The 24,825-nt window shown below is 47.3% G+C and overlaps 1 protein-coding gene across 9 annotated transcripts in view, besides 3 other annotated features; it reads right to left on the reverse strand.

The window, feature by feature from the left end:
- SYT6 (synaptotagmin 6) overlaps positions 1–11,619 on the reverse strand; it is a 64,578-nt gene extending 52,959 nt beyond the window's left edge. For 6 of the 9 annotated variants that reach the window (NM_001366226.1, NM_001270805.2, NM_001366225.1 and 3 more), the window contains exon 1: positions 11,360–11,619. Coding sequence is in view for 4 of the 9 variants with exons in the window: in NM_001366225.1 (NP_001353154.1) it covers positions 11,360–11,522 (163 nt within the window). In the remaining 5 variants the exon portion in view is untranslated. Of the gene's footprint in view, positions 1–9,967; positions 10,191–10,515; positions 10,673–11,359 lie in introns of those variants that run through there. The other 3 variants (XM_024453337.2, NM_001366223.1, NM_205848.4) reach the window with 2 other exon arrangements.
- Positions 3,294–4,006: an enhancer, noted in NCBI's record as "NANOG-H3K27ac-H3K4me1 hESC enhancer chr1:114688166-114688878 (GRCh37/hg19 assembly coordinates)". NCBI's record gives its function as "activates a minimal SCP1, AML or CMV promoter by ChIP-STARR-seq in naive H9 embryonic stem cells {active_cell/tissue: H9 hESC(naive)}" and the evidence as "EXISTENCE:reporter gene assay evidence [ECO:0000049][PMID:30033119]".
- Positions 12,794–13,407: an enhancer, noted in NCBI's record as "H3K4me1 hESC enhancer chr1:114697666-114698279 (GRCh37/hg19 assembly coordinates)". NCBI's record gives its function as "activates a minimal SCP1, AML or CMV promoter by ChIP-STARR-seq in naive H9 embryonic stem cells {active_cell/tissue: H9 hESC(naive)}" and the evidence as "EXISTENCE:reporter gene assay evidence [ECO:0000049][PMID:30033119]".
- Positions 14,337–14,631: a silencer, noted in NCBI's record as "tiled region #1115; HepG2 Repressive non-DNase unmatched - State 22:ReprW, and K562 Repressive non-DNase unmatched - State 20:ReprD". NCBI's record gives its function as "represses a minimal TATA promoter and a strong SV40 promoter by Sharpr-MPRA in HepG2 and K562 cells {active_cell/tissue: HepG2 | K562}" and the evidence as "EXISTENCE:reporter gene assay evidence [ECO:0000049][PMID:27701403]".

The following is a 24,825-nucleotide window of genomic DNA, read 5'->3' on the forward strand; positions in this document are numbered from 1 at the left end:
AATATCAACATTAACTGAAATTTAAAAGAAGTTGATTCCAAACATCGTGAATGGCTTTGAGGGGTTCAAGACCTCAGTGAAGGAAATAACTGCAGATGTGGTGGAAATAGCAAGAGAACCAGAATTAGAAGTGGAGCCTGAAGAATGGATGAGGAGTTGCTTCTTGTGGATGAGTAAATAAATTGTGGATGAGTAAATATTTTATCTTCTTGAGATAAAATATACTCCAGGTAAAGATGCTGTGAACATTGCTGAAATGACCACAAAGGACTTAGAATATTACATAACCTTAGTTGATAAAGCAGTGGCAGGGGTTGAGAGGATTGACTCCAATTTTGAAAGAAGTTCTACTATGGATAAAATGCTATCAGACAGCGGTGCATGCTACAGAGATATCTTTAGTGAAAGGAAAAGTCCATTGACGCAGCAAACTCACCGTTGTCTTATTTTAAGAAATTGCCACAGCCACTCCAGCCACCAGCAACCACCAAACTGGTCAGTCAGCAGCCATCAACATCGAAGCAAGACCCTCCACCAGCAAAAAGAGATTAAGACTCACTGAAGGCTCATTTTTAGCAATTTAGCATTTTTTAGCAATCAAGCTTTTAAAATTAAGGTGTATATATTGTTTTTGGGTGTAATTTTATTGCACACTTAATAGGCTACAGTATATTTTACACTGTATATGTGTATATATATAGGTAAATATATTACAATGTATACTTTTTGTAAGGCTTTAGCTGCCATGGATAGTGATTCCTCTGATGGATCTGGGCAAAGTAAATTGAAAACCATATGAATAGGATTCACCATTCTTGATGCCATTATATTTACAGTATATTACAGTATATTTTATACTGTGTGTATATGTATATATTCACATATATGTATATATACATATATGTATATACTGTATACACTTAATAGACTACAGTATATTTTATACTATATATATTTTATTTAATTCTATTGTGCTATTCTAATAATTCTATTTCTTTTTATAAAATATACTTTAGTCTATTAAGTGTACAATAGAATTACACAAAGTTATATATATGTTTACATGTGTACATATATAAATTACATATACTTATATGTATAAAAGTTTTAGATACATATATGTATATATAGTATAAAAGTAGTATAGTATAAAAGTTATGTGTGTATATATACATATATAGTATAAAAGTAGCACAGTTTAAAAGTTATATATATCTATATATACATACATACATATGTATATATGTATAAGTTATATATAACTTATATGTGTATATATACATATAAGTTATATATAACTTATGTGCATGTGTGTGTGTGTGTGTATATATATATAACTTTTATATGCACTGGGAAACCAAAAAATTTGTGTGACTTGCTTTATTTTGATATGTGCTTTATTGCAGTAGTCTGTAACTGAACCTACAATATCTCCAAGGTATTTGTGTACAAATGATTCCTAGAGCTGTCCTCCTCCATTCCTGTGGCTATTCAAGAGCTTTGCTGTAAAACTGGTATTTTAAATGTTGTGATTGGTTTGGAGGTGGGCTCTCACTCCCCCACCCCCAGCCCACCCCTGACCCCAGGGATGCCCATTATCCCAAGAAAGGGGTATGCCCCTATGAGGGATGCCCCTCTTTGTGAGAAATTATTAAGCAGACCTCCCATCCCACTTCCCTCTCCAAATTTGGGAATGAACCTTTGAGCCCAAGGCCTCTTCTTGCTCGGAGTAGAGAAGTTAGAAGGCTCTGAACCAAGGGCATACTTTGCAGGGTTTGCAAAAAGGTTACTGTGGACAAACTAGCAGAAGAGTTTTGTTTGGCTTGCTTAATGATTGAAACGTTAAGAAATTCCATCATCATCGTCACCCCAGACTTCTGAATTCACTGGAAAAGACCAATGACTTGGTAATTGAACATGGGCTCCCACATGGTGGGAACTGGTGACTCTCTTTGTAAGGATATGTCCTCACCAGCTCAACCCTCCACTTCCTGTTCCCTGTCTGGCCCCTGAAAGCTTGTAAGTTTGAAGCCTCTGTATTAGCCTGTCCAAATGCCTTAAAAATCTTACTATTTAAGGTAAGAAATGACCCCACAAGTAGTGAGGCCAGGCTGTGCCTTTAAAGATGGCAGCAGTGGTTCACAGAAGGGACTTGCTTGGAGTCACAGGTTGGTCAGACACAGAACCTGGACTAGGGTCCAGATGTCCACCACCCAGGCTGGCACTCTTTCCTCTGCCCTGACCTGTCTGTCTCTGGTTAAACTGTAGGCTACTATGACACGTGTTTTTCCTCTTTGTCTGATTCAGGGCCTCACATAGAAACTGGCACATGGAATGAATGAGTGACTGAAAGAATGATGTATGAGAAGGCTGTAATTAGCTCTCATTTCAATTAAGGTCAAGCAACATTTACTGAGTACTTGCCATGTGCCAAGTTCTGAGCAAGGCTTGAATGCCCAGTCCCCTGCTAAGGGGATCCAGGTACTCCCACAGCACATAGGCTCCAGGGAAAGAGATCCCACATCAGGGGCCAAGAAGGAGTTGAGGATATCAGCCACTCTCTCTGGGAAGCCAGCACTGCCTTTTGATTCCTTTGCTGCAAGTTACTTGCCTAGATCAGTTATCACCTCCGAGAATAGGTAATAATAGCAGAGAATCCTCAAGTCCTGAGCCACCTACCACCACCCCCTTCCCAAGCCTTCCCAACACCTGGCTCCCTGCACAGGGACATTAGAGCCTTTCCCTGGCCAAAGGAGCTGGAGGTAGTCCTTCACCTGGAGACTGCCAGACACCGGGAAAGCTCATTCTAAGTCAACTTCTATACTAAAGGTCTCCAATGTGGTGGTGTCTCCAATGGGGTGAAGCTCGGGGCAGGTGGACACAAGAGAAAAAAACCAAGCCATTTTAATATTTATAATCTTTAAAAGAAATCAAATTTTTAATATACAGGTTGATAGGAATAATAGCATGTTATTAGATTTAGGCAATTTATTCAACATTACTATGTCTAAGGTTCAAAGAGCTTTATATCTATTCACTCATTTAATCCTCTCCAATGAAAAAGGTATGATTATTATCCTCATTTTGCAGATGTGGAAACTGAGGCACAGAAGGTTAAATAGATTTCCCAGGTCACACAACTAGTGGGTGGTGAAACTGGGCTACAACCCAGCCAGTCTGGTTCTGAAGTATCACCTCTGTGGAACATGTATGTAACTTGGGAACAAAAAAACATATATTGGAGGTATTAAGTTTTTTTTTTTTTTTTTTTTTTTTAACCTGTTATGAGTTCATGATCTAAATAATTTGGAGACTCTTTCTTCAGGTCTTTATCCTAGTGGGCTCACCAGGGAAGTCACCACAGCTATATGTGTCCTTATTCTACATATCTGGCCATCTCTAGCCCTTCACATCTGTTCTCTGTTACAGCTGTTCTGGATGCATTCTCTGCAATATGAGTCACCTCAAAACAAAAGGTGTTTCTAGGGCTTTGCTTTCCTTTGATCATACATCTTACTTGTTCTGGTAATAATTAGAATTTTAATGAGAAGGGGAGTAGGGGGAATCTAGAGAGCATAGAGTGCATTTAAATGTTCAGCCTGACAAATAATTGAATTCGTAAATGAAAAGAGAGGTAGGAGAAGGGGGTGGGGCAGGACAATGAGGTTTTCCTTGGTGTGGTTGCTATTTAGATTGCCTCTCCATGTGACCCCCAGCTGCTGTTCCCTCAGAGCTGTGATTAGGGGAGGCAGAGGGCATGGTTTTTTGGAATCAGCACCCAGCACTCAATACTGGTTATATGAGACCAGGAGGCCCGTCCTATGCCTGAAGAATCTTATTGCAGGACTAGAGGAGCCTGGGCTTTTGACATCTCACTGGCAGGCAGTGCAAGGAGAATTAGGTCTCAAACACTGAGTGGGTTTGTCTTCACAGGAGATGCAAGGTTGGTGAGCAAGGCTAGTAAGACCAGAAGCAGGCAGCAGGGAGGAGGTGACTGTAGAAGATTCAGCTCATTTAAAATCACTGTATGTGGCCTTGAACTCAGACATCCCTCATCTCCTAGTTTAAGTTACATTGAGATTAGAAAGGGCTGTAGGCTTCTGTACAGCCTAAGGGCTGCATAAAGGCCCAGATAACCTAAGCTGTATGCCTTCCCACTCTGGGCTTGCTGGGGCCAACCCACTGGGACATGTCCCCTAGGAAATCACAGGTGCACAAATAGCCTTCAAAACCCTTTTCCCATTCACATCTTGTTTGAACTTTGACCCCTTGAGGCAGCTAGAACTTTGATGGGCAACTCTGCCAGTTTCTGAGTCCTGATCCAGTGCTCTTCCAATTTACACCACACGTTCACTTCAGGAAAAGCTAGAAGTAAGCCTCCAGTAAGGGAGAGAGGGCTCAGCCCAGCACTGAAAAAGAGAAAGTACCTCCTAGGTATTTGGATGCTTCTTCCCTGTCTTCTTCTTTACTTCTTCTTCAGCTTAGAGAGAAGGAAGCATTGCCCTGAAGTCAGACTGGCCTCACTAACAGTCTACCTCTACTAGTTTTAAACTGTGACCTTGGCAAACTATGTAACACTTCTCAGCCTCAGTTTCCTCATCTATAAATTGGGGGTAATAATAGTATCTACCTTTAGGGTCATTGTGAGGTTTAAATGAGACCAAAACTGTTGAGGATAGTGCCTAAGATGTAATAAGCAATATAATAAATATCACCTATTTTTATTAGAATTAGTTATGCCCAGCCCAATTTGAAACAGTCCTTAGTTTTGAAATTTGTTTAATGGGCAGAACACCTGAAAACCATTGAACATTAATCAACAGAGATAGCTTTAACCTTGTCTTTACAAACCAAGAACAATCTTACTAGCAGAAATAATATAATGGTTTTGGACATAGCCAGGTCCGTCTGTATCTTGAGACGTAACACAAACTATGGTTCAGATCACACATCTCCAGGCTTTTCCTGCTAATACTCATTTGCTTGCTGCCTCCTCAGTTGTTTTGTTGTTACCATCACCAGCCAGCTGGTGAACAGGAATGAATTCCAAAGAAGTAAGAAGAAGATCATGGAAGAAAAACCTATAATTGAGAACATCCTATGTTCTTGAAAAATTTCTTGAAATTTGGGGAAAAGAAGCCTATTGCTCAATATTCATTGTAAAATGTTTTCATTCAGGCATCAGAGGAGCTCTAGTATTTCATGGGCACCTGATTTGGTAAACCATAGTAGCCAACTCTCCAGCAGTCTCATGGGAGAGAAAACAGCTATGGAACTAGGCTTTGGGATCACACCCCAGTGACATAGCCTTGTACAGGGGCACATGGCTTCTAGCCCTGGCTGTGAAACTGAACTCACAGGTGCTCAGACACAGGATGGACATCTCAGGTGGGCGGCAGTGCCAGAATGACCGACAGCACAGCATGTATCATCTTCATTGCTTTCTAATTGCGTGACCTTGAGCAAGTTATTTAACCTGTCCAAATCTTAGTTTTCTCTTTTATTTAGTCAGGATTCGAATTATTCCTACTTTGCAGAATCATTGTGAATATTAAATAAGCTAAGACTTTGAGCACAGGCCCTGGTACACAGTGAATGTCCCCAAAATGTAAGCTGCTGTTATTCTTCATGTTTTGTTTTTTGGTGGAGGATAACAGTTGACTGTGTATACAGAACAGACACAAAGCTAAGCTAAGTCTTTGAGGCAGGGAAGGGAGACTCCAGATCAGAGGACAAAGAATCTGAGGGACGTCAGGCCCCTCTTCTCTCCTGGGAAGTTGAGATCCCCTTCAAGGCCATCAGGATAGGATCTGCTTGTCACCTTAAATGAGACTGTCTGGTTGGGGTGATGGCCCATGGTCTCCCTCCTCTTCCAGAAAATGCTGGGTTATTAAATAGCAGCTCAGGGCTTTCTTATCTTCCCCCACTGACACTTCTTTCTCCAAAGACAGCCCTAGTGCCCCCTCCCCTCTTCTCCACCCATAGTGTTAGAATTCATCAGCAATTCTTATTGCTTGCTATTGTTCCCATTTTTCTAATGGGCTCCCACATCAGAAAAATCCATTTTGTAACAGTAACAGGCGTTCTTGCTAACAGATTGTAATTGAAGAGATAAACTGGGAAGAGGAAGCAAAAAGAAAGAACCATTTTCCCTACTCACCCCAAAGCCAGAGAAGGCTGGCTTCAGGGCCTGGAATTGGTGGTGGACCCTCAGAAACGGTCAGTGCTCAGGCTGGGGAGAGCAGGAGCTGCCTCGGCCAAGGAGCTCTCGTGCAGACACAGACAGAGACATAGACAAAGCACAGCCCAGAGGCCAGGGAGCAAGTGACGCAGAGGCCCAGGAGCTTGGAAGAAGAGCGTTTAGCCTGGGAAGAGAAGAGATTCTGGGCAGAACCACTCATAAAATACTAATAATATCATTTATTTATTTATTTATTTATTTATTTATTTATTAATACATAGTGAGCATTATGCCCTTTACATTATCTAATTTAACCTTTCTAGCCTCCCTAAGAAATTGGTATACACCCTTAAAGATAAAGAAACTAAGCATAGAGATGTTAACCAGGTAACTTGTTCAAGGGTACAGTGCATTAAGGAGAAGAGCTGGGATTTGAACCTAGGACTTGCTGATGCCCAAATCTGGGCTCTTGAATCACGTATCTGGGAGGACTACAGATTGAGCTGTGGAGTCCCAGGCTGGACAGAGAAGTTGGAGTGGGGGCAGGCATTTCTTAGTTGTACTCAGGAGAGGATGGGAGGGATACTCCCACTTTTTGGCCTGACCCTATGAACCTGGACAGAGCCCCAGAGACTCAGATTATGACCAGCCTGGTGACCACCTGCCCCATCTTCTTCCCTGGAAAGCTGACACTTCAGGTTGCCCACCAGCCACCAGGCAAGTAACCAGTGGCCTCTGGAAAAGGTGTACCTGAGGAATATCTGAGAGAGAGAGAGAGAGAGAGATTGTGTGTGTGTGTGTGTGTGTGTTGGGAGAACAGAGCTATTCTGTACTGAGGCTCAGACGTGGCCCATTAATAATTAATAATAAGCTCTGCCAGGGCTTGTAAGTTTATTAGGAGAACCGGTGTAATTAAAATTCAGGGCTGGGGGGAGGGGAGCAGAGGGCTTTTGCTTCCTTTGCTTCTTTCAGAGATCCAGACTGAGCTACCAATGGGGATAATTAGCAGAGTCCAAACAGAGAAGGAATTAATGCTCCTGAAAAAGCTGTGATGAGGAGAGACAATGCCAAGCTAATTACGGCCGCACCAAGCTTTATGACTGGGCGCTCACTTCCACCATCATTAGGGGATTCAGAGCTAAATCGGAGACTAATGTGGAGTGTTACAGCTAACAGAACATTGGCACTAATTTAACAATTATTAATATTATTAGTTTGGTGGATGGTAACTGTACCTTTCTGCTTGAGGGGTCAGGGCATGTGGCCCTTCTGAATGTGGGATCAAGGCTGGAGTGATGGAGGTGGAGGGCAGACAGCCAGAAATTCTTTTCCCTCTATGCTTCTCTCCCTGTTTGTACCTGCAACTAGTGAGAGGAGGGGTCTGCCTGGGTCCTCGGGGAGCAAGAAAGAGTTCAGTGCTCCTAGAAGAAAGAAGGGAGGGATGAGGTTGTGTCATTATACTTGGAGGGTCCAGATCTGGATGCCCCTGTTTATTTCTACTTTCAGAGACTCCTCTGATTTCAGTTCCTAAGTGTGACTCAGTCCTTAGAGGCTTCTTTTCCTAAGCAAGAATAGAAAGGGTGCCACCCAGTTTAGTCGGAACTTTGTCTTAGCATGCTTTCCCCACTCCAGACAACCCTATACAGACCATAAAGAAACCTGGTTTGATCCAGATGCCTCAATGCCACTCCTCACTATTTGCAGCCACATGTTATACCCCTAACTCTGTGGACAGGGAAGATAAACTTCAGACAGTTAGAAGAGAACATGTCTTTTGTACAGAGCTTAGAGGGATGACACATACTGAAACCACCATCCCTACTTGACGTTCTCATCAAAGTCAGAGGGAGAAGAAAACTTCTAGAACTATAAATCTAAGGGCTCTACAACTCTTAGATACTGGACCCTGCTTCTAGAACTCTAAAGCTCAAAACACACTAGTCAGAATATCATCTCCTTGGGTTCTAAAGGATTGTGCATTGTACCTTTCCTCAAAAAGGGCAAAATCTGCAGAATTCCATCCTTCCAGTGAGAAGGACAAACATCACATAAATTTCATGGCCACAAGTAAACTGGAGTTAACCACTCCCGGCTGCCAGCCTAAGAAAAACAGGGAAGCTTGAGGTCTCCTGTCAGGTTTCTGCATTTGCTGGAGCACTTCTGGACCTCTGCTTGCTACCTTAAGTCCAGAACCCATGCTGACCATACCTAAACCTCTGCAGCTTGGCTTATGGAAAAAGTTCATTCATTTCTACAAGGCAAATGACACAATGAAAGGTGGAGAACTGCTTATTAGTGTTCACTTGGGGTGTATTAAGGAGAATAGCAGGCCTATGGCTTCAGAGTTTTTAAAGAAAAAGGGGAAACTTGCTTTTAGTTTGGACAGTTTGTGTACAGGTGTTTCCAAGTCAGGGTCTGATTAACTGAGACTTCCTGTGCAATTCCTAGCACAGACTCTAGCCTATAGAGGAGTCTCAGCAAATGACAGTGGAGTCTGAATCTCAGTCTCAGGGTGTTACTAGAAATCTGTAAGCTAGAGACTTAGAACAGGAAGAAGTCAAGGGAAAACATAAAATGGTAAACAGAGCTGGGCCTGCTCTAGCCACTTGCATTTTTCATAAAACTGCAACAAATGAAAAGCTCTAGCATTGTGCTGGTTGGAGAATCTGGACCCAGAGAGCAGGCTGGGAGGCGGAACAGCTGGGGCCTGGTCCTGAACTCCATGGCATCTCCCCAGACCCTCTGGTCACCTAAATTCTCAAAATCCCAAGGCCACTCTCAACCACTATCTTTCTCTTGCTATGATCAAAGGGTCTGCTCCTGCCTCCCCATATCCCTTTCAGCCTCTCAGCTTGGACCCTGGGCTTCCTGGGACTTGTGACTCAGCAGCCAAAGTTAAAGTTTTCCTGAGCTAACAACTAGAACTCATCTTCTGATGCAGCCTGCAGGGAAGGCATAGTAATTCATCTGGGCCTGCCGACTCTCACCCCTCAGGCTTTTCTCACCCTCAACCTGGCCATCCAGGCACCTGTCATTCCAGATTATGGGTATCTCTGTGGAGTCAGAACACCTGTGCCTCCCCCTACCAAGATGTGCTGCACACATACAGCCCTGCCCCACTTCCAGCAACTTCCACCGTCACCCCCAGCATTTCTGCCCTGAACAGACAGGAGAGTCAGCTTCCATCCCAGATGGAACTCCACAGGTATGTTCTCACCCTCTAGGCTCTGAGGGTCAGGACCAGCATTAAGGCTCCACTGGAGATGGATCATTGGTGGAAAAGACGGAAGGGAGCTGGGGAGTAGGGAGAGGCAGGAAGAGGCTCCCTGATAGGGAAAATTCTGTGTCTGGTGTGTATGCGTGGTGTAGGAGGGGATGGCACCAGAGAACCAGAGTCTTATAATAATAACTTGTTAGGCCTAATGTGTTCTGCGAATCTCCAAGGCAGGGAATCAACTTCCCCAACCTCCATCTCTGTACCACCCTCTAAAAGTTCTTTATGTCTAACCTCAGTCCCTTCTGCTGCAGTGATCAAACCATTGACTAAACATTGCCACAACTAGGGACAGCAGCGCCTCCTACGACCCTCACAGGGCTCAGGTGGGCTCCGCTCACCCCAAGGCTGGATACAGCCCCCTCACACACACAAGCCTCCCCTTGGCCCACCGCCCCCTCCCCCGAACTGCTCCTCACGGGTATCTACCTCTATATACGACCTTTAACCTCAAGTGAAAGAAAACAGGACCCTGGGACCTGCAGCCGCTGGGGAGTTTACCCCACCTGTACCTGCTCCCAGAACCGCCGGTCCCTGGCTTCTCGTCCCTGGAGCAGCGCGTGGGGACCAAATTCCCGCCTCTGGCAGCCCCTTTCTCCCCTTCCCGCGCCAGCGGTGCAGAGCCACTGAGCAACTCCCGAGTGCTCCTAGGCCCAGCGCTACTGGGGTCGGGGTGGGGGAATAAGGAGGGATGGAGCCTGCAGAGTCTCCTGGAACCCCGGCGTCCTGGTCCTTGCAGGATCTCCCCACCCCCACTCCGCATTATCTCCAGGCCTCTCACTCCCCCAGCCCCTCCCCCATGGAGGGGACGCGACCCAGTACTCCCTCCCGCCCCGGACCCTCCAGATATCGGGACAAAGAAGCCCCGCGGCAGCCGGCGAGCGTGGCTGCCGGGCACTGGTGCAGCAGGTAAATACCCTGGGCCGGCCGCCACGTCGCCGACCCTCCCGCAGCTCCCGCCGCCAGGGCGCGACACGCCATTCCCCCTGCCGCGACTCCCCGGAGACGCCGCAGCTGCGCGCCAGGGTCCAGCCCGGCGGGGATCGGGCTCGGGACTCACCCGCTCCGGCGAGCTCGACTCAGCTCGGGCTCCCGCCTCGGCTAGGCAGCCGCCTGGGGCTGCGTCCCGCGCAGGGTCAGCGCGGATCGGGCAGGAGGCGCCCTCTTGGCAAAGTCGGCTAGAGGCGCCAGCTCAGTCGCGCACCGGCCCCGAGTCCGAGTCCGAGAGGGACGGAGGGAGCGAGTTATAGGGGCGAGAGGGGGTGGGGGAAGGACGCCGCAACACCCTCATACCCTCCCCCACCCCGCCCCCTGTCCCCCGCCCCCCAGCGGAGACGCGGAAAACCACTCGCAGCCGGAGAGACACCCGGACACAAAGACCTCGTGCCAGCCGCAGACCCAAGTTTCTCCCGGAGAGACTGGGGGTCCGCCCGCGTTCACCGCGAGAACACACAAACGGACGGACAGACCGACGCACGGACCCGGGGACCTCGACACTCGCTAGGAGGCAAGCCCTATTCCTCAGCCGGGCGCCCCTCGTCTCCCGCTCTCTCCATGGACCCCTCTCCTGGCAAATCGCCCGCAGAGCGAGCTTGGAGATGCGAGGGAAACTGAAGCCCCAAGGGTGCCCCGTCCTGGGAGCCTGGCTGTCTGCGGGGTCCCCCGCATTCCGCAGTAGTAATACAGGAGGGCCGGGGGCTTCTACCCCAACCTCCGCTCCCCTTCGGGTCTCTCCTGGCTGTGCAAGCGATGGGCCAGAGGGCTGGACGAGGCTGGCTCCCAATCCAGAATCCCGAGCTGGGGAGTTCTCTCTAGGTTCTGGGGCTCCTGGGACCGGGGCTTTGGGGAAGGGAGATCGCAGGACGGATATCCAGGAAGGGAGGGGGCCCTGGGTCTCCCGTTACCTGCGCCTGCCGCGCTGGGACTCCGCTCTGGGGGCTGCAGCTCGAAGCTCCGACAAGTCTCCACGTCCAGCCCGAGAGGGGGCGGCCGGGCCCGGCACAGCGAGGCGAGGACCGCGAGCGCCTCCTGGCACCGAGGCCCGCCGGCCCCCCACACTCCGCTCATGCCCTAGACACCCAGGCTTGCCGAGCAGCAGCTCGAACCCGCGCCCCGGCCGCACTGGGGCGGGGCACGACGGCCCCAAGAAGACCCTCCCTGCAGCGGCCCCCTGCGGCTCCGCTCTGCTTTTAATCACTTCCCCGCAGGGTCCCCGCCCCTCACGTGGCATCCCGCGGCAGCTGGCGAGTCTGGCGCCTCGCGGCCGCCCCCTCTACACTCAGGGACTGGCCTGAGTCCGGGGGGTGGGGGTTTCGAGGCGGGAAGCCGGGCTGTCCCGAATCTCGGAGGGTGCAAGGCCAGGAAAGAGTCCGGGTTCCCACTCCGCATTCACTGCCTGGTGTGACCTTGGGCGTCTCTGAGCCTCAATTTTCCTCTCCGTAAAGGAGGTGTAATGATTTTAAGTACTTCACGGACTCCCTGGGGATAGAAAGATCGTGTTTGTGAAAACACTGGGTAAACTGCCACATGCCACACGAATGACAGAGAAATAGATAACCCCGTAACAGAAAGAGCGACGGTCAGGCAGGGTCTGGGAGGACCTTGGCCGAGGTTCCTGACGGGAGCAGTTAGACTGGCCCCCGAGTCCCAGCTTCGGAGGTAGAAGACCCCAAGACAGGCGGGCGATGCGAACTGCAAGACTTTCCGAGCTCCGCAATCCTGCGGTCCGCGGTACCCGCATGTTGCTATGGCGACGGGAGGCAGCGGCCGTCTCTCTCCATGGCAACGGGAGGGAAAAGTTTCTGGCAAACAGGAATGGGGGGTCATTTCAAGAGGGCGCAGGGCGCTCAGTTCCGCCGACCCACCTCCTTGCTTCGGTGAAACAGCACCAGAGATCATGTATCTTTCTGCTAAGCATAACAAGAAAGACAGAAAGCTCAACGGGAGGATTGAGGCTAGACTTAAAGTAGAGATCCCCTCAGAAACTGTGGAGTGAGGCCCAGGAACAGATCGGCTGAGAGGCTTCGAGCTGCCTCACTCAGCGCTGGAAGTCTGTGAGCCATGGTCAGGGAGGCCGGGGGACCAGCGCCCTGCAGGGGCCTATCTCGGGAGTCTCTTGATCTACACCTGTCGGCGGTGGGGCCCCTTCTGTGTGGGGCTCGCCTGAAGCCCCAGACTCAGGTCCATTTGCTCTCCCGGAGCTGGGAAGGAAGCTTTAGCTGCAGCCCCTGGAGGCTGCTGGGTTGGTGTATGCCCGAGTGGCTGGCGAGGGAGAAAGGTCTTGCCTCTTAATTAACACGCTTATTGGAAGTGACTCGGGCAGTGACTCACGTTCCGGAGGGAGGAGATTCGGAGCCTTAGCTCCTGGCGGTCTCCACTGCGCGCCATCTGTGCCAACCGGCCCTTGGACTTGCGATCCCCTAGCAGCTGGTGCCTGGGGCACCAAGGGCTAAGGCAAGGCCTGTGAGGACCCTGGCCCAGCCAGGCGGCTTTTCCACCGTGAGGCGCCCCCTGGCTCTGTCCACGGTGCTGAAGACCCAGTTGGTGCTACCATCGCGTGGGCATAAGTTTAGGGGACGAGGGAGAGGCAATTGTTGAAGGTTCGCAGCTTCCACCCTGACCCCTGTGCCTGTGATAGCAGAAGGCTAGGAACTCAGGCAGGGACCAAGCAGACACGACGCAGGCGATACTGTGCAATCCGGGCTGCCTTCCTGCTGGAGGTGTTTGGTTGCTGTTCCAAGAACAAGTGGGGCTCTGGCATCCCTATGCGCCTTCCTGGTGCTTCTGAAAACCCACCTGAGGAGCCTAGAGGCCCCATTAATTTCTTTTCCATCACCCGATGCAGATCTCAGCACCCAGAAGAGCCTCTGGCTAAACGCTTATTAGCAGTTTCCCAAGTGGCAGGTTTGTGTTTATGTAAAATACAAATGGAGAACTGCTCTTTGCCCGTGTTTATGGCAACTCTGTCACTCCCCTGCTATTTCTCCCTCCCCCTCGCGAGTTCCTGGGGGAAATTCACAGAACAAAGCACCTTGTTTTGCCTTTGCAGAGAATGAAAAAACACAGGACCATTCCAAGGGCCCAGACCTGTGATGCAGGGAAATCAATATTTTGCTTACATCGAGTGGGGGAATTTGCATCTAAACTGAAGGCAAAGGAGCTTGTTTGGAGCAGAGCAGGTGGCAGGAGCCGAGAATTAACAGATAATTTCTCATTGTTCCTGGATTCAGCCTCCACACTCGGCAGGCGCTTCTGCAGCGTCTCTGGCGCCCCGGCAGCAGCTCCGGACCTGGCATTTCTCAATCTAGCAGTGTGAAGGAGCTGCTGCCCTGATAGGGCTGCAGAAACAGGTTAGGGCCCCTGGGTCAGTCAATAGCTATTGAAGTTGGATTGTAGGAGTTAGCGTGTGTGGGAGAGACAGAGATGAGAGAGACAGAGAGAAAGAAACAGAGACAGAAATAGAGGCAAGAGACAGATACAAATGAGAGAGACAGAGGATGAGACAGAGATACAGAGAGACAGTTATAGGAAATAGAGAACAGAGAAACAGACAGGGAGACAGATGTACAGGTAAAGAAACACACATTCAGAAGGAGACATTAAGGTAAAGCCTCACCCTAGTTGTCCTCTTTAGCCCGCTACCTCCCCCAGCCCCCAGGTCAATTGCTGATACCACTGTGGTCACATAACCAGCCACAAAGCAGAAAAATTCTTCATGTAATGATGGAAACTTTTTTGTCTCTCAAACCCCTTTGCCCTGCAAACCCAACCCCCAAACACACCTTTGCTTCTTCCCATATGAAGAGATAAAATTCAGAGTCCCAGGGTCCCACCAAGAGCTGGGAGGGAGGATCCAGGGTCCCACTCAAACCCAGAGAGGGAAAGAGGTGGAAAGAAGTGGAATTGTTGCCCTTCAATTCTATCTCTCAGAGAAATCCCATTCTGAGTTTGGGTTTAGGGGTGGGGAGGAGAGAAGCAGGAGCAGAGACAGTTAAGCATGGAGTGGTGGCAAATAAGTACATTGGACAGGGCCTGGGAGGGCTGGGATTCAGGGCTGGTGCACCAAAGCAGCCACGAGGCTGTCACATCCCCTATCTGGGGCTCAGTGTGCCTATGTGAAGTTGGATTAGGAGCTCTTTGAGGCTCCTTCCAGCAACAGCACTCTAGGATTTTACATGAGGGAGAAAAGAGGAGGCTGGGGCAAAGGGAGGAGGGAGGCAGCCTTTCCTGGCTCTGAAGCTGAGGGTGGTTTTACAGAGGCCAACTCACTTTCAGCTCCCCCTCCCCCATCGTTCTCATTGCGCCTACAGCCATGCATGGAGCATCCCGAGTCTGGGCACCTCCAGACCAGACTTCTCAGATGCAGGAAGAGGAGCTGGGGTGGAATGGGAGGCAGAATGAGAGGAGGTTTGAGACAGAAACAAGAGGCCTCCCACTCCTATGCCCTCCTCTCTTCGGAAATAGCCAATGTGCTCATCTCCTGCCCCCAACTTAAGTCTCTGCCCTTGGGCAGGCTCCCACTCTGCTCTGAGCAGCAATGTCTTGTTGAGTTATGTTGCAAATAAAATAAATTAAAACCAAATAATAATTTCTTTAAAAAAATTGAACCTTGGTAGGAAATTGCTAATGCTGTAGGCGGGAAGAATGAGCTCCTTTGACATGAGCCGATGTGTCATATTGTCTTTCCATCTCAATGCAATTTCTAAATAGGGAGCCCTTTCCCCATTCCCTCCTCCCTCCAAGTCCCCAGCAGAAATGTAAAGGGAGCAGTCTGACGATTGTAGCTGGATTGTCTGACGTGCAGGGAGAGACACAGAGGAATAGACACACAAGCACACCTACAGCTTTGCCACGTGGATAGAAGCTAAGGAGGCTCTGACCCAACCCTGAGGGCCCCTGGTCTCTTCTCCCCACCTCCCCCATCCTCTGCTTACTGAGGCATGTAGCCGCCTTCTGCAGAAGTGTTAATTTACTCAAAAAAACAAACATCAGTTGAACCTAGTCTACTGCAGAATCAAGTTGAGGTCCTGTATTTGAGGGTATAACTTCATATCATTATTTGGAATAAACTGTACTATGGATTCCCTATGGGGTTTCAGCCAGAACAGCTTTATCAGTATTTCCTGCAGATGACACTCTCTCCCCCAGCCCCCATACCAAGATAGCAAATCTAGCCAAAGCTGGGTGACTTCTGCAAATCATGCTGTCCCAAGCCATCATCAGAGTTTTCAGGGATTCCTCCTTACCTGAGAAGATGCAGAAGACGTTGCAGAGCTCAAGGTCAATGCCTAGGTGCTTTTTGAAAGCGTCCATTCTTGCTTTTATTCCAAGAAATATGCTTGGCAGTTCAAACATCCTGAACCAGGGTATATTTGCCTCTCTCCCATTCCTCCCCTATTTCAGCAGTCTCATCTCTGTTCTGTGCTCTCTGCTCAAGCACACAATATTCCACATCAGACTTGGGAAGACTGGACAATGTTTTCTGCATCCAGCCTGGCTTTGTGGACAAAAGCAGGCTGGAGTTCGGGGAAGCAGAGACAGGTTGAAGGTCAGAAGGCAGTATCATCCTTCAAACAACTTTAGAGCTAGGCCTAACCATGGTGGGTCGAGGTCTGTCTCCATTACTGAGAAGTGAAGATGATGTCAGAATGGAAGGGCTAGGAAGGGAGCCAAATAGTCCTCTTCTCACTGACCTTGTACAGAAGAAACAGCACGGCTTTGGAGTTGGACAGATCTGCGTTCAAATCCTGGGTCTGTTATTTACCAACTGGATTGCTTTAGGTGCTATACTTTAGCTCTCTGAACTTCAGCTTCCTCATTTGTAAAACGGGACATATAGGGCCTGCTTCACAGTGTACAAGGCAAGGATTACATGAGTTGGGTTAAATGGTGAAGGTACTGTGACTGATCCATGGCAAGTGTTAAATGATGGTTCCTGTCCCCTTTCTTCCTTTTTTCAGAATGTAGAGGAAAATTTAGCAGGTACACTATTCAGAGGTTAACCTGTATTCTTCCATGGGGCAAGTCTCTGCAAATTGTCCAGAAGGAATTTATCTCATGTAATTCTTACAAAAATACTGAGAGGCACAATGGGTGGATCCTAATCATCCATCTAGTAGATGAGGAGATTAAGTGACTGGTTCCTAGTCCACAAGGGAGGAGATGGCAGAGAACTGGAATTCAGGCCTTCAGACAGCAGATCAGCGCTCCTTCCTTCTTCACCATGCGGCAGAAAGATGGTGGGGATGTGAATACTTTTTCTTATTTTCTTACAAAAGGTTACAATATTTTAAAATTGCCTTTACAATAAATAAAAATTTAGAAATAAATTACAATGCAGTGAAAGATTTTTTCCTGTGCCTCTTTGCAATGCTCTTGGCTCTTTGACCTTAGCCATTTCAGTTGCCTCTTGGACCCAGTTACTGGTCTAGAGGAAAGATGGTGTCATTGATAAAATACGGGGTTGGGGCCAGACAGCTTCATGGCTCCATATGTGCTTGGTTGCTTCACTCTTGACAGAGGTAGGACTCCTCAGAGAGCAGCTTGGGGTGTCTCTGTGCCTGGACTGTGTCCTGTGGTCAGAGCCCTGCTTCCAGGAAAGGGCCAAGCCAAGATTCTTGTAAGACCAGGACTCCAAAGATTGGAGCTCTCCCCAAGGAGCCTGGAGAGAGTTTGCAATCTTAGGTCTCTGGCTGTTCCACTAATGAAAGGAAACCAGATAAAATGCCAAAACTAATTAAAACAACAAACCTGAAAAGGCCCTGTCAAAACTAGGAAGTCTTAATTCTTGATTTCAACAGAATTCAGGTAGGAAGAATCAACAGAGCATGCTTTGGGTCAGTGGACTGAAGCCCCCTACAGAACTGAGGTGTTGGAGTCCCTGGAGAGAACAAATCTGTTTACCAAATTCCAGCTTCCATCCATTTGGTAGAATAAAAATCCTTTTCTATCCCAGCCCCCAAGCCTTATATACATTTCTGCTGTTTGCTAGAGCCATAGTAATGGTTTTAATGAGTCAGCCCCCAACCTTTATTAATACTTCTCTACCTTTGTAAAGCATGGCACAGTTTACACAACAGTCTTACGTATGTTATCTCATTTCATACAACAACCCCAAGATTGGACAGTATTATTCTCATTTCACTGGTGAGGTCCCAGAGAGGCTAGAAATAACTGGCTCAGGATTCACAGCTAGTGAGTGGCCGAGCCAGAGCTCAAGTCTGTCTTTTCATGCCACTCGTTCACTCATTCAACATTTATTGAGGTCCTACTAAGACCCAGTCTGTGCCAGGCACATGGGATGCAATCCTGTGCTGTTTCCTGTATACAATGGCCTTCAGCCACACCACATACAGAGCCCTGAGCATATGGGCTCTGTCCTGAGGGAGTGCACACCATCAGTTGTGTAAAGAGGCTGTGTGTGAAATTGACTGAAAATGAGTTCTTTGACCTCCTTGATGCGCAGTTGCACAACCCACATGAACAGTGAAATTCTCTTCTGACATGATTCTCCCTGGATTTCCCTCCCTTTCTGTTTCTTTTACTTTCTCCTTTGCCTCCTGTCAACCCTCTGCTTTCTCCAGGGTTCAGCTCTCAGCTTTTCTTTCTCCTATCTCAGTGCTCTCTGAATGGTCTTATCCATTTATAGGGCTTCAGATACCAAACAATGCCAACATTAATAGTAATGGTAAACATTTACTGAGCACTTACTCTTTTCCAGGATCCATGCTGCTTGCTTAATAAGGGTTGCATAATTTAATCCTCACAACAATCCTATTATTGCCTTCAATTTGCAGGTACCAAATGATAGAGCCAGAATTTAAACCCATGCAGTCTCACTCCAGCGCCCACCCTAAGGATTTCCAATTCTGCATCTCTGACTCATCTATCTCTCCTTGCTTCTCCATGTGCATTTATAAATTCCTGTTCTGAACAACTTGACCCTAGACCTTCTGAATCCAATACATATAAGACAGAAATTATATTTTCCTTCACAAACCTGCTCCACCTCTCTCCTTAAAGAAGGCTATAACCAAACCAAATTAGTGGCTCAAACTAAAAATCTCAGAGGCTTCTTTGATGCTTCCCTCTCCCTTATTCGTCTGCATTCATCCATGACTGAATTCTGTTGTTTCTATTTCTCAAGTGTTTTGAACCCTTGTCCGCCTTGTTGTATGTAATGAGATAACATACGTAAGGATACCCTCATCCTTGGAATCACTGTCCTTGCCCTAGCTCCAGCACCCAATAGCGCTCTTCCAGATCATGGCAGTTATGTTATGGGATAATATGAATATGTCACCCTCTCCGTTAAAATCCTTCATAGAATTCTTGGGGCCTTTGAGATGAAATTGAAACCCTCCAGTATGGCAAACAAAGCCCTTCCAGATCTGGCCTTTGTCCACTTATGTAGCCTTCTCTCTAGACACTCCTGGGTATCCTCTGCGGGCCACCTATGCGGTGGTCACAGAGTGGTAATCCCTGTCCCTTGTCCTCACTCTCCACCCCACCTTCTGCATTTTTGCTCATTTTGTTCCTGCAGTTCCTCTTCTCTTCCATTCTAGAGTCTAGAACTTTGTGACTGCTTGTCCCTCTGCCCCAAACACCTTCCCTCTTTTCCTCATCACCCAGCTTGTTCCTACTGGATGCAGTGGCACACGCAGGTTAAGACTGTAGGCTTTGAACATTATACTGAATGGGCAAAAGCTGGAAGCATTCCCGTTGAGAACCAGAACAAGACAAGGATGCCCATACACATCACTCTTATTCAATATAGTACTGGAAGTCCTAGCCAGAACAATCAGGCAAGAGAGTGAAATAAAAGGCATCAAAATAAAAAGATGGAAAGTCAAACTATCTCTCTTCACAGACAATATGATACGATACCTAGAAAACCTCATAGTCTCTGCCCAAAGGCGCCTATATCTGATAAACAATTTTAGCAAAGTTTCAGGATACAAGATCAATGTACAAAAATTAGTAGCATTTCTATACACAAATAACATCTAACCAGAGAGTCAAATCAGGAATGCAATCACATTCACAATAGCCATAAAAATAGTAAAATACCTAGGAATAGAGCTAACCAGGGAGGTGAAAGATCTTTACAAGGAGAATTACAAAATACTGCACAAAGAAATCAGAGTTGACACAAACAAATGGAAAAACATTTCATGTACCTGGATAGGAAGAATTAATATTGTTAAAATGGTCACACTGCCTAAAGCCATTTACAGATTCAATGCTATTCCTATCAAACTACTAATGACATTTCTCACAGAATTAAAAATATATATAAAATTCATTTGGAACCAAAAAAAGAGCCTGAATAGCCAGAGCAATCATAAGCAAAGAGTACGAAGCTGGAGGCATCACACTGCCCAACGAAGCTATACTACAAGGCCACAGTAATTAAAACAGCATGGTACTGGTACAAAAACAGACACAAAGACCAACGGATCAGGTTAGAGAACCCAGAAATAAAGCTGCACACCTACAACCATCTGATCTTTGACAAAGCCAAGATAAACAAGCAATGGGGAAAGGACTCCCTATTCAATAAATGGTACTGGGATAACTGGCTAGCTTTATGCAGAAGATTGAAACTGGACCCTTCTCTTTCACCATATACAAAAATCAACTCAAGGTAGATTAAAGACTTAAATGCAAAACCTAAAACTGTAAAGACCCAAAAGAAAGTCTAGGCAATACCCATTCTAGACATTGGCCCTGGCAAACACTTCATGACAAATGCTCCAAAAGCAATTGCAACAAAAACAAAAATTGGCAACTGGGACCCTAATTAAACTAAAGAGTTTCTGCACAGTAAAAGAAACTATCAATAGAATAAACAGAAAACCTACAGAGTGGGAGAAAATATTTGCAAACTATGCATCTGACAAAGGTCTAGTATCCAGAATTCATAAGGAATTCAAATAAATCAACGAGCAAAAAACGACCTCATTAAAAAATGGGCAAAGAATATGAACAGACCCTTCTCAAAAGACATACAGGTGGCCAACAAGCATATGAAAAAAGCACTCAATATTACTAATCATTAGGGAAATGCAAATAAAAACCACAATGAGAAACCATCTCACTCGAGTCAGAATAACAATCATTAAAAAGTCAAAAAGTAACAGATGCTGGTGAGGTTGCAGAGAAAAGGGAACATTTATACACTGCTGGTAGGAACATAAATTACTTTAGCCACTGTGGAAAACAGTCTGGAGATTTCTCGAAGAACTTAAAATAGAACTGCCATTTGACCCAGCAATTCCATTACTGGGTATATACCCAAAGAAATATAAATTGTTCTACCATAAAGACACATGCATGTGTATGCACTATTCACAAAGCGAAGACATGGAATCAACCTAGATTCCCATCAACAGTGGACTGGATAAAGAAAATATGGAACATATATACCATGGAATACTACACAGCTATACAAAATGAGATCATGGCCTTTGTAGCAACATGGATGGAACTGGAGGCCATAATCCTAAGCGAATTAACACAGGAAGAGAAAACCAAATACCACGTGTTCTCACTTATAAGTGGAAACTGAACATTGAATACACATGGACACAAAGAAGGGAACAATAGACACGGGGGTCTATTTGAGGGTAAAGAGTGGGAGGAGGGTGACAAGTGAAAAACAACACATCGGGTATTATGCTGATTAACTGGGTGATAAAATCATCTGTACACTAAACCCCTGAGGCACTCAATTTACCCATGCAATAAACCAGTGTATGTACCCCTTGAACCTAAAACAAAAGTTGGAGGAAAAAAAATGTGTAGGCTTTGCAGCTAGATTGCTTGGTTCAAATTTTGGATCTGCCATCCAATTGAATGAATGACATAGTAGCTGTGTGACCTTGGGCAAGTTACTAAACCTTTCTGTGCCTCTGTTTTCTTGTCCATAAAATGGAGATGATAATAGTAGTACCTCTCTCATTAGTTTACTGGGTGGTTTAAATGAGTTGATATGAACGAAGCACTCAGAATATCCCGTTCTCTGACTTCCAGAGCTGACTCAGATATTCCCTTTCTTGACATCCCATGGCACCCAATGGTTTTCTTTGTCACAGAGTTTAACAAACCATACTGTTGACTATTACTAGGCCATGAGCTGCTGAGCTGCATCTATCTCTCATTGATCTTTATACCCTCAGCGCCTCACACCTGATCCACACACAGCAAATGTCTATCACTTTGAAGAAGGCTGAATGTGTGAGTGTAATGCGATGCAAAGTGAGTGTGTGAGTGCAGGAGGAATCCCAGAGGACAGTTCCACGGGCCAAGTCAGGGAAGGCTTCTTGGAAGAGCAGAGTTGTGAGTAGAGTAGTTCGTCTGGAACTGGAAGGAATGGGGGAGCACATTCATTCTAGGCTGCAGGATACCTGTGACACAGGGAGCTCAGGCAAAAATAAGCATTTCACAGGAAGGAGTGAGCAAAGGACAAGGGGCGAGAGAGGACCCTGGACCCTCAGGAATCCCAGTTCACTGCTCTGATGCTCATCTTACTCAGCTGGGTTGTTATCAAGAGCTGGGCTTGTTCCAGCCTCAGAGGCCAAGGCAGAGGGAGGCCCAACCCCAGCCCTCAAGGAGATTCCAGTGAAGCCACAGGAAGCCAGGAAGCACCCAGTCAATATTCCTCTGCAAGCTCTCCAGAGTTGGGGTCATGAAAAGTTTCTTTTTTAGAATAAATTGCTTACCAAAAGTGTTGATTGAGGAGAAAAATATATTCATACATTTTTTTTTAAAGAAATTGCTGATTTTTCTCATGTCAAGCCATCGCTGTAAAGCACGCGTGTGTCTTCTGGGGCAGCTGACTGTTTTCCGGGATAAATTTCTGATAATACCACCAAGTCATTACTGCACAATTAGTGCTGCTAATGAGGTAGGCAAAGTTTGCTTCCCACTCCTTCCCCACCCTTTCTACCTCTCTCTGCTCTTTTCTCCCCAGTTCACACACATTCTTCTCACACCCCTCCCTCCCAACCACAGAGCTGGTAGTGGGAGACGGGAGGGCCCCAGGTGAGGCTGTCAGACATTGGATTTCGACTCTCAAGCCTCCCAAATTAGCAAAGTGCCCAGGTAACTGGGAGAGGGCAGAGAACCAAGGGGTGCCAATGAAGAGGAGGGAGAGGCTGGCCTTGACCTGGGCACCAGGAAGTTAACAAGGGGCTGGGAGCAGTGGCTCCTGCCTGTAATCCCAGTGCTTTAAGAGGCTAAGGCAGGAGGATCACCTGAGGTCAGGAGTTCAAGGTTGCAATGAGCTATGATCTCACCACTGTACTCTAGCCTGAGTGACAGAGCAAGATCTGTCTCTAAAAAAATAAGAAGAAAGAAAGAAAGTTAAATAAGGGTGGCGGCAGTAGCCAGGGGAGGTGGGGGGTGGCAACTTACCCTTCAGGGTATGCAGCAGTGATCTGTCACCCTAGAGACTTTGTCTAATGCCCTGGTAATAGTGGAATTTTCTCCAGCAGTGGGGAGACAGCCCAGTGCCAGGGCTAGGTAACAGAGCTGTGGGTGGGTGATGCTGTGTTTGTTTAGGCTGCTGGTGGGAACAGCAGCTAAGCTTGATGGGAACATATTTCGTTTCATTCTGAGTAATTATTTTCCCTACACACACACTCTTAGACACACATACATAGACCACATTCAGACACACACCCCCAGGGGGATTTTTCAGCCTTGCTCCTGGAAGCACCTGACAGGTTCTCTGATAGGCTCTCCTCCTCCCAGGTGGCTGTTGAGCTTTTTGGACACCTCAGCAGCCTTTGTAAGATGGAGAGTTTAAAAACTGCCGAGAAAATTATGTAGGGGAGGCCGGGAGCTCACTGAGGCCTCTGTTCCTGAGTAGGCATCTCCATGGTGGGTTGTAGAGTTGCCCACTGACCTGGTGAGCAGAAGTCAGCTGTGGCTGATGGAGCCCAACCTCCCCAGCCTGGGGAAGAGGGTGGGCAGAAGAGGCCCATGAGGGAAGGAGGACAAGGAAGGAGGGGCAATAGTGAAGCCTGTGGCTTCAGGAGGAGGGCTCAGGGGCAGGAGGTTGCTGAAGTGGGGCTTGGATGCAGATGCTTGCAAGGAGAACAGGCGTGGGCATGACTGCAGGGTCACAGCTCCATGGCTCAGGGAAGCCACGGACAGCACAGAGCATGAATGCCTCAGCCCCAGTAGGGATTGGATTGGATTGGATGGCCTGGCTTGCCTCTCATCCAATTCTTTATGATTCTTGCGCATGAAAATTGACAAAAACCAATCACTTTCCTCACAGCTGTGCTAACCTAGGGTTGGGGGCAGTAGGGAGGATGGCAAAGGCTTTTCATTATTCATTGGATTAAACTGTTAGAGCCAAACAGCACAGCAAATGGAAGTCCATTGTTTTCTCTGGAAGCCATTCTAATTGTTAACTGAGCTGGTGAGGGAGGTGTCCTGGGAGGCTCACAGTGGCTTCACTCTGCCTTCGGGTTTGTGAGCGGAACTTCGACAATGCTTTCCTCTGTCACCCTCATGCAGACAAGAAAGTACCTCGGTGACCTCCCTCAATTCTGAAGAGCCTCTCATTCCCACACGGGCTAGGCCCAGAGATACCAACATTGAGACTTGCCTTGTTTTGAGCATCTCCTTTAGGAGAGGGTCCCATCTTCCTAATCTGGGTTAGATGCCCCCTGAGCCCTCCATTTCTGCTGTTGTCACTGCCCTCAGATTTTACGGTAATTGCTAATTTACTTCTCCATCTCCTAGACAGATATGTCAGGGACTAGACCACAAGTTCTGTTTTGTTCACTTTGGTATTCCCAGCCCTTGCTATATTGTCTGTTACCTAGTAGGTGCTCAAGATAGTTTAACTGGGTGAATTAGCTGAGATAGGAGTTTCAAAGTTTGGGAGTTGGGGAATCATTTTTAGGTAGATCAATTCCTGCTTGCAAAGGAGAGGAGGGAAAAACCACTAAGTGTCTCAAAGCAAAGAGAAGGTTTGCTGACCACAGAGGAGGAGAGGGGCATGTCTTCCTTCTCACCTGGAGTTCCTAAAACCTGGGCCGCAGGGTGAGAACAACTGCTGTAAAGATCTACCAGGTAAAGCTTCAAGATCTTCCCGTAGAGCTCAATCTCCTGCACCAGGAGCCACCCTCCTGGGAGGCCTTGCTCTCCTTTCTCTGACCTCTGCGGTGCTGGTACTCGGCGCCTCCAGAGAACCTCCAGGCAGGTGCTGCCTGATTGACTCCATGCTCTGGAAGTCCTCTTCCTTGAACCAGTGGCCTCACTCCCTCCCATTCGCCGGGGAGCAGCTGACTACTCCTGCTGCCTCCTTCATGTTCTTCCAGGGCATTGCTACCTCTCTTGCTGCTCCCACCCA

The sequence above is a fragment of the Homo sapiens genome, chromosome 1 (genome assembly GCF_000001405.40).
Source record: "Homo sapiens chromosome 1, GRCh38.p14 Primary Assembly".
NCBI lineage: Eukaryota > Metazoa > Chordata > Mammalia > Primates > Hominidae > Homo > Homo sapiens.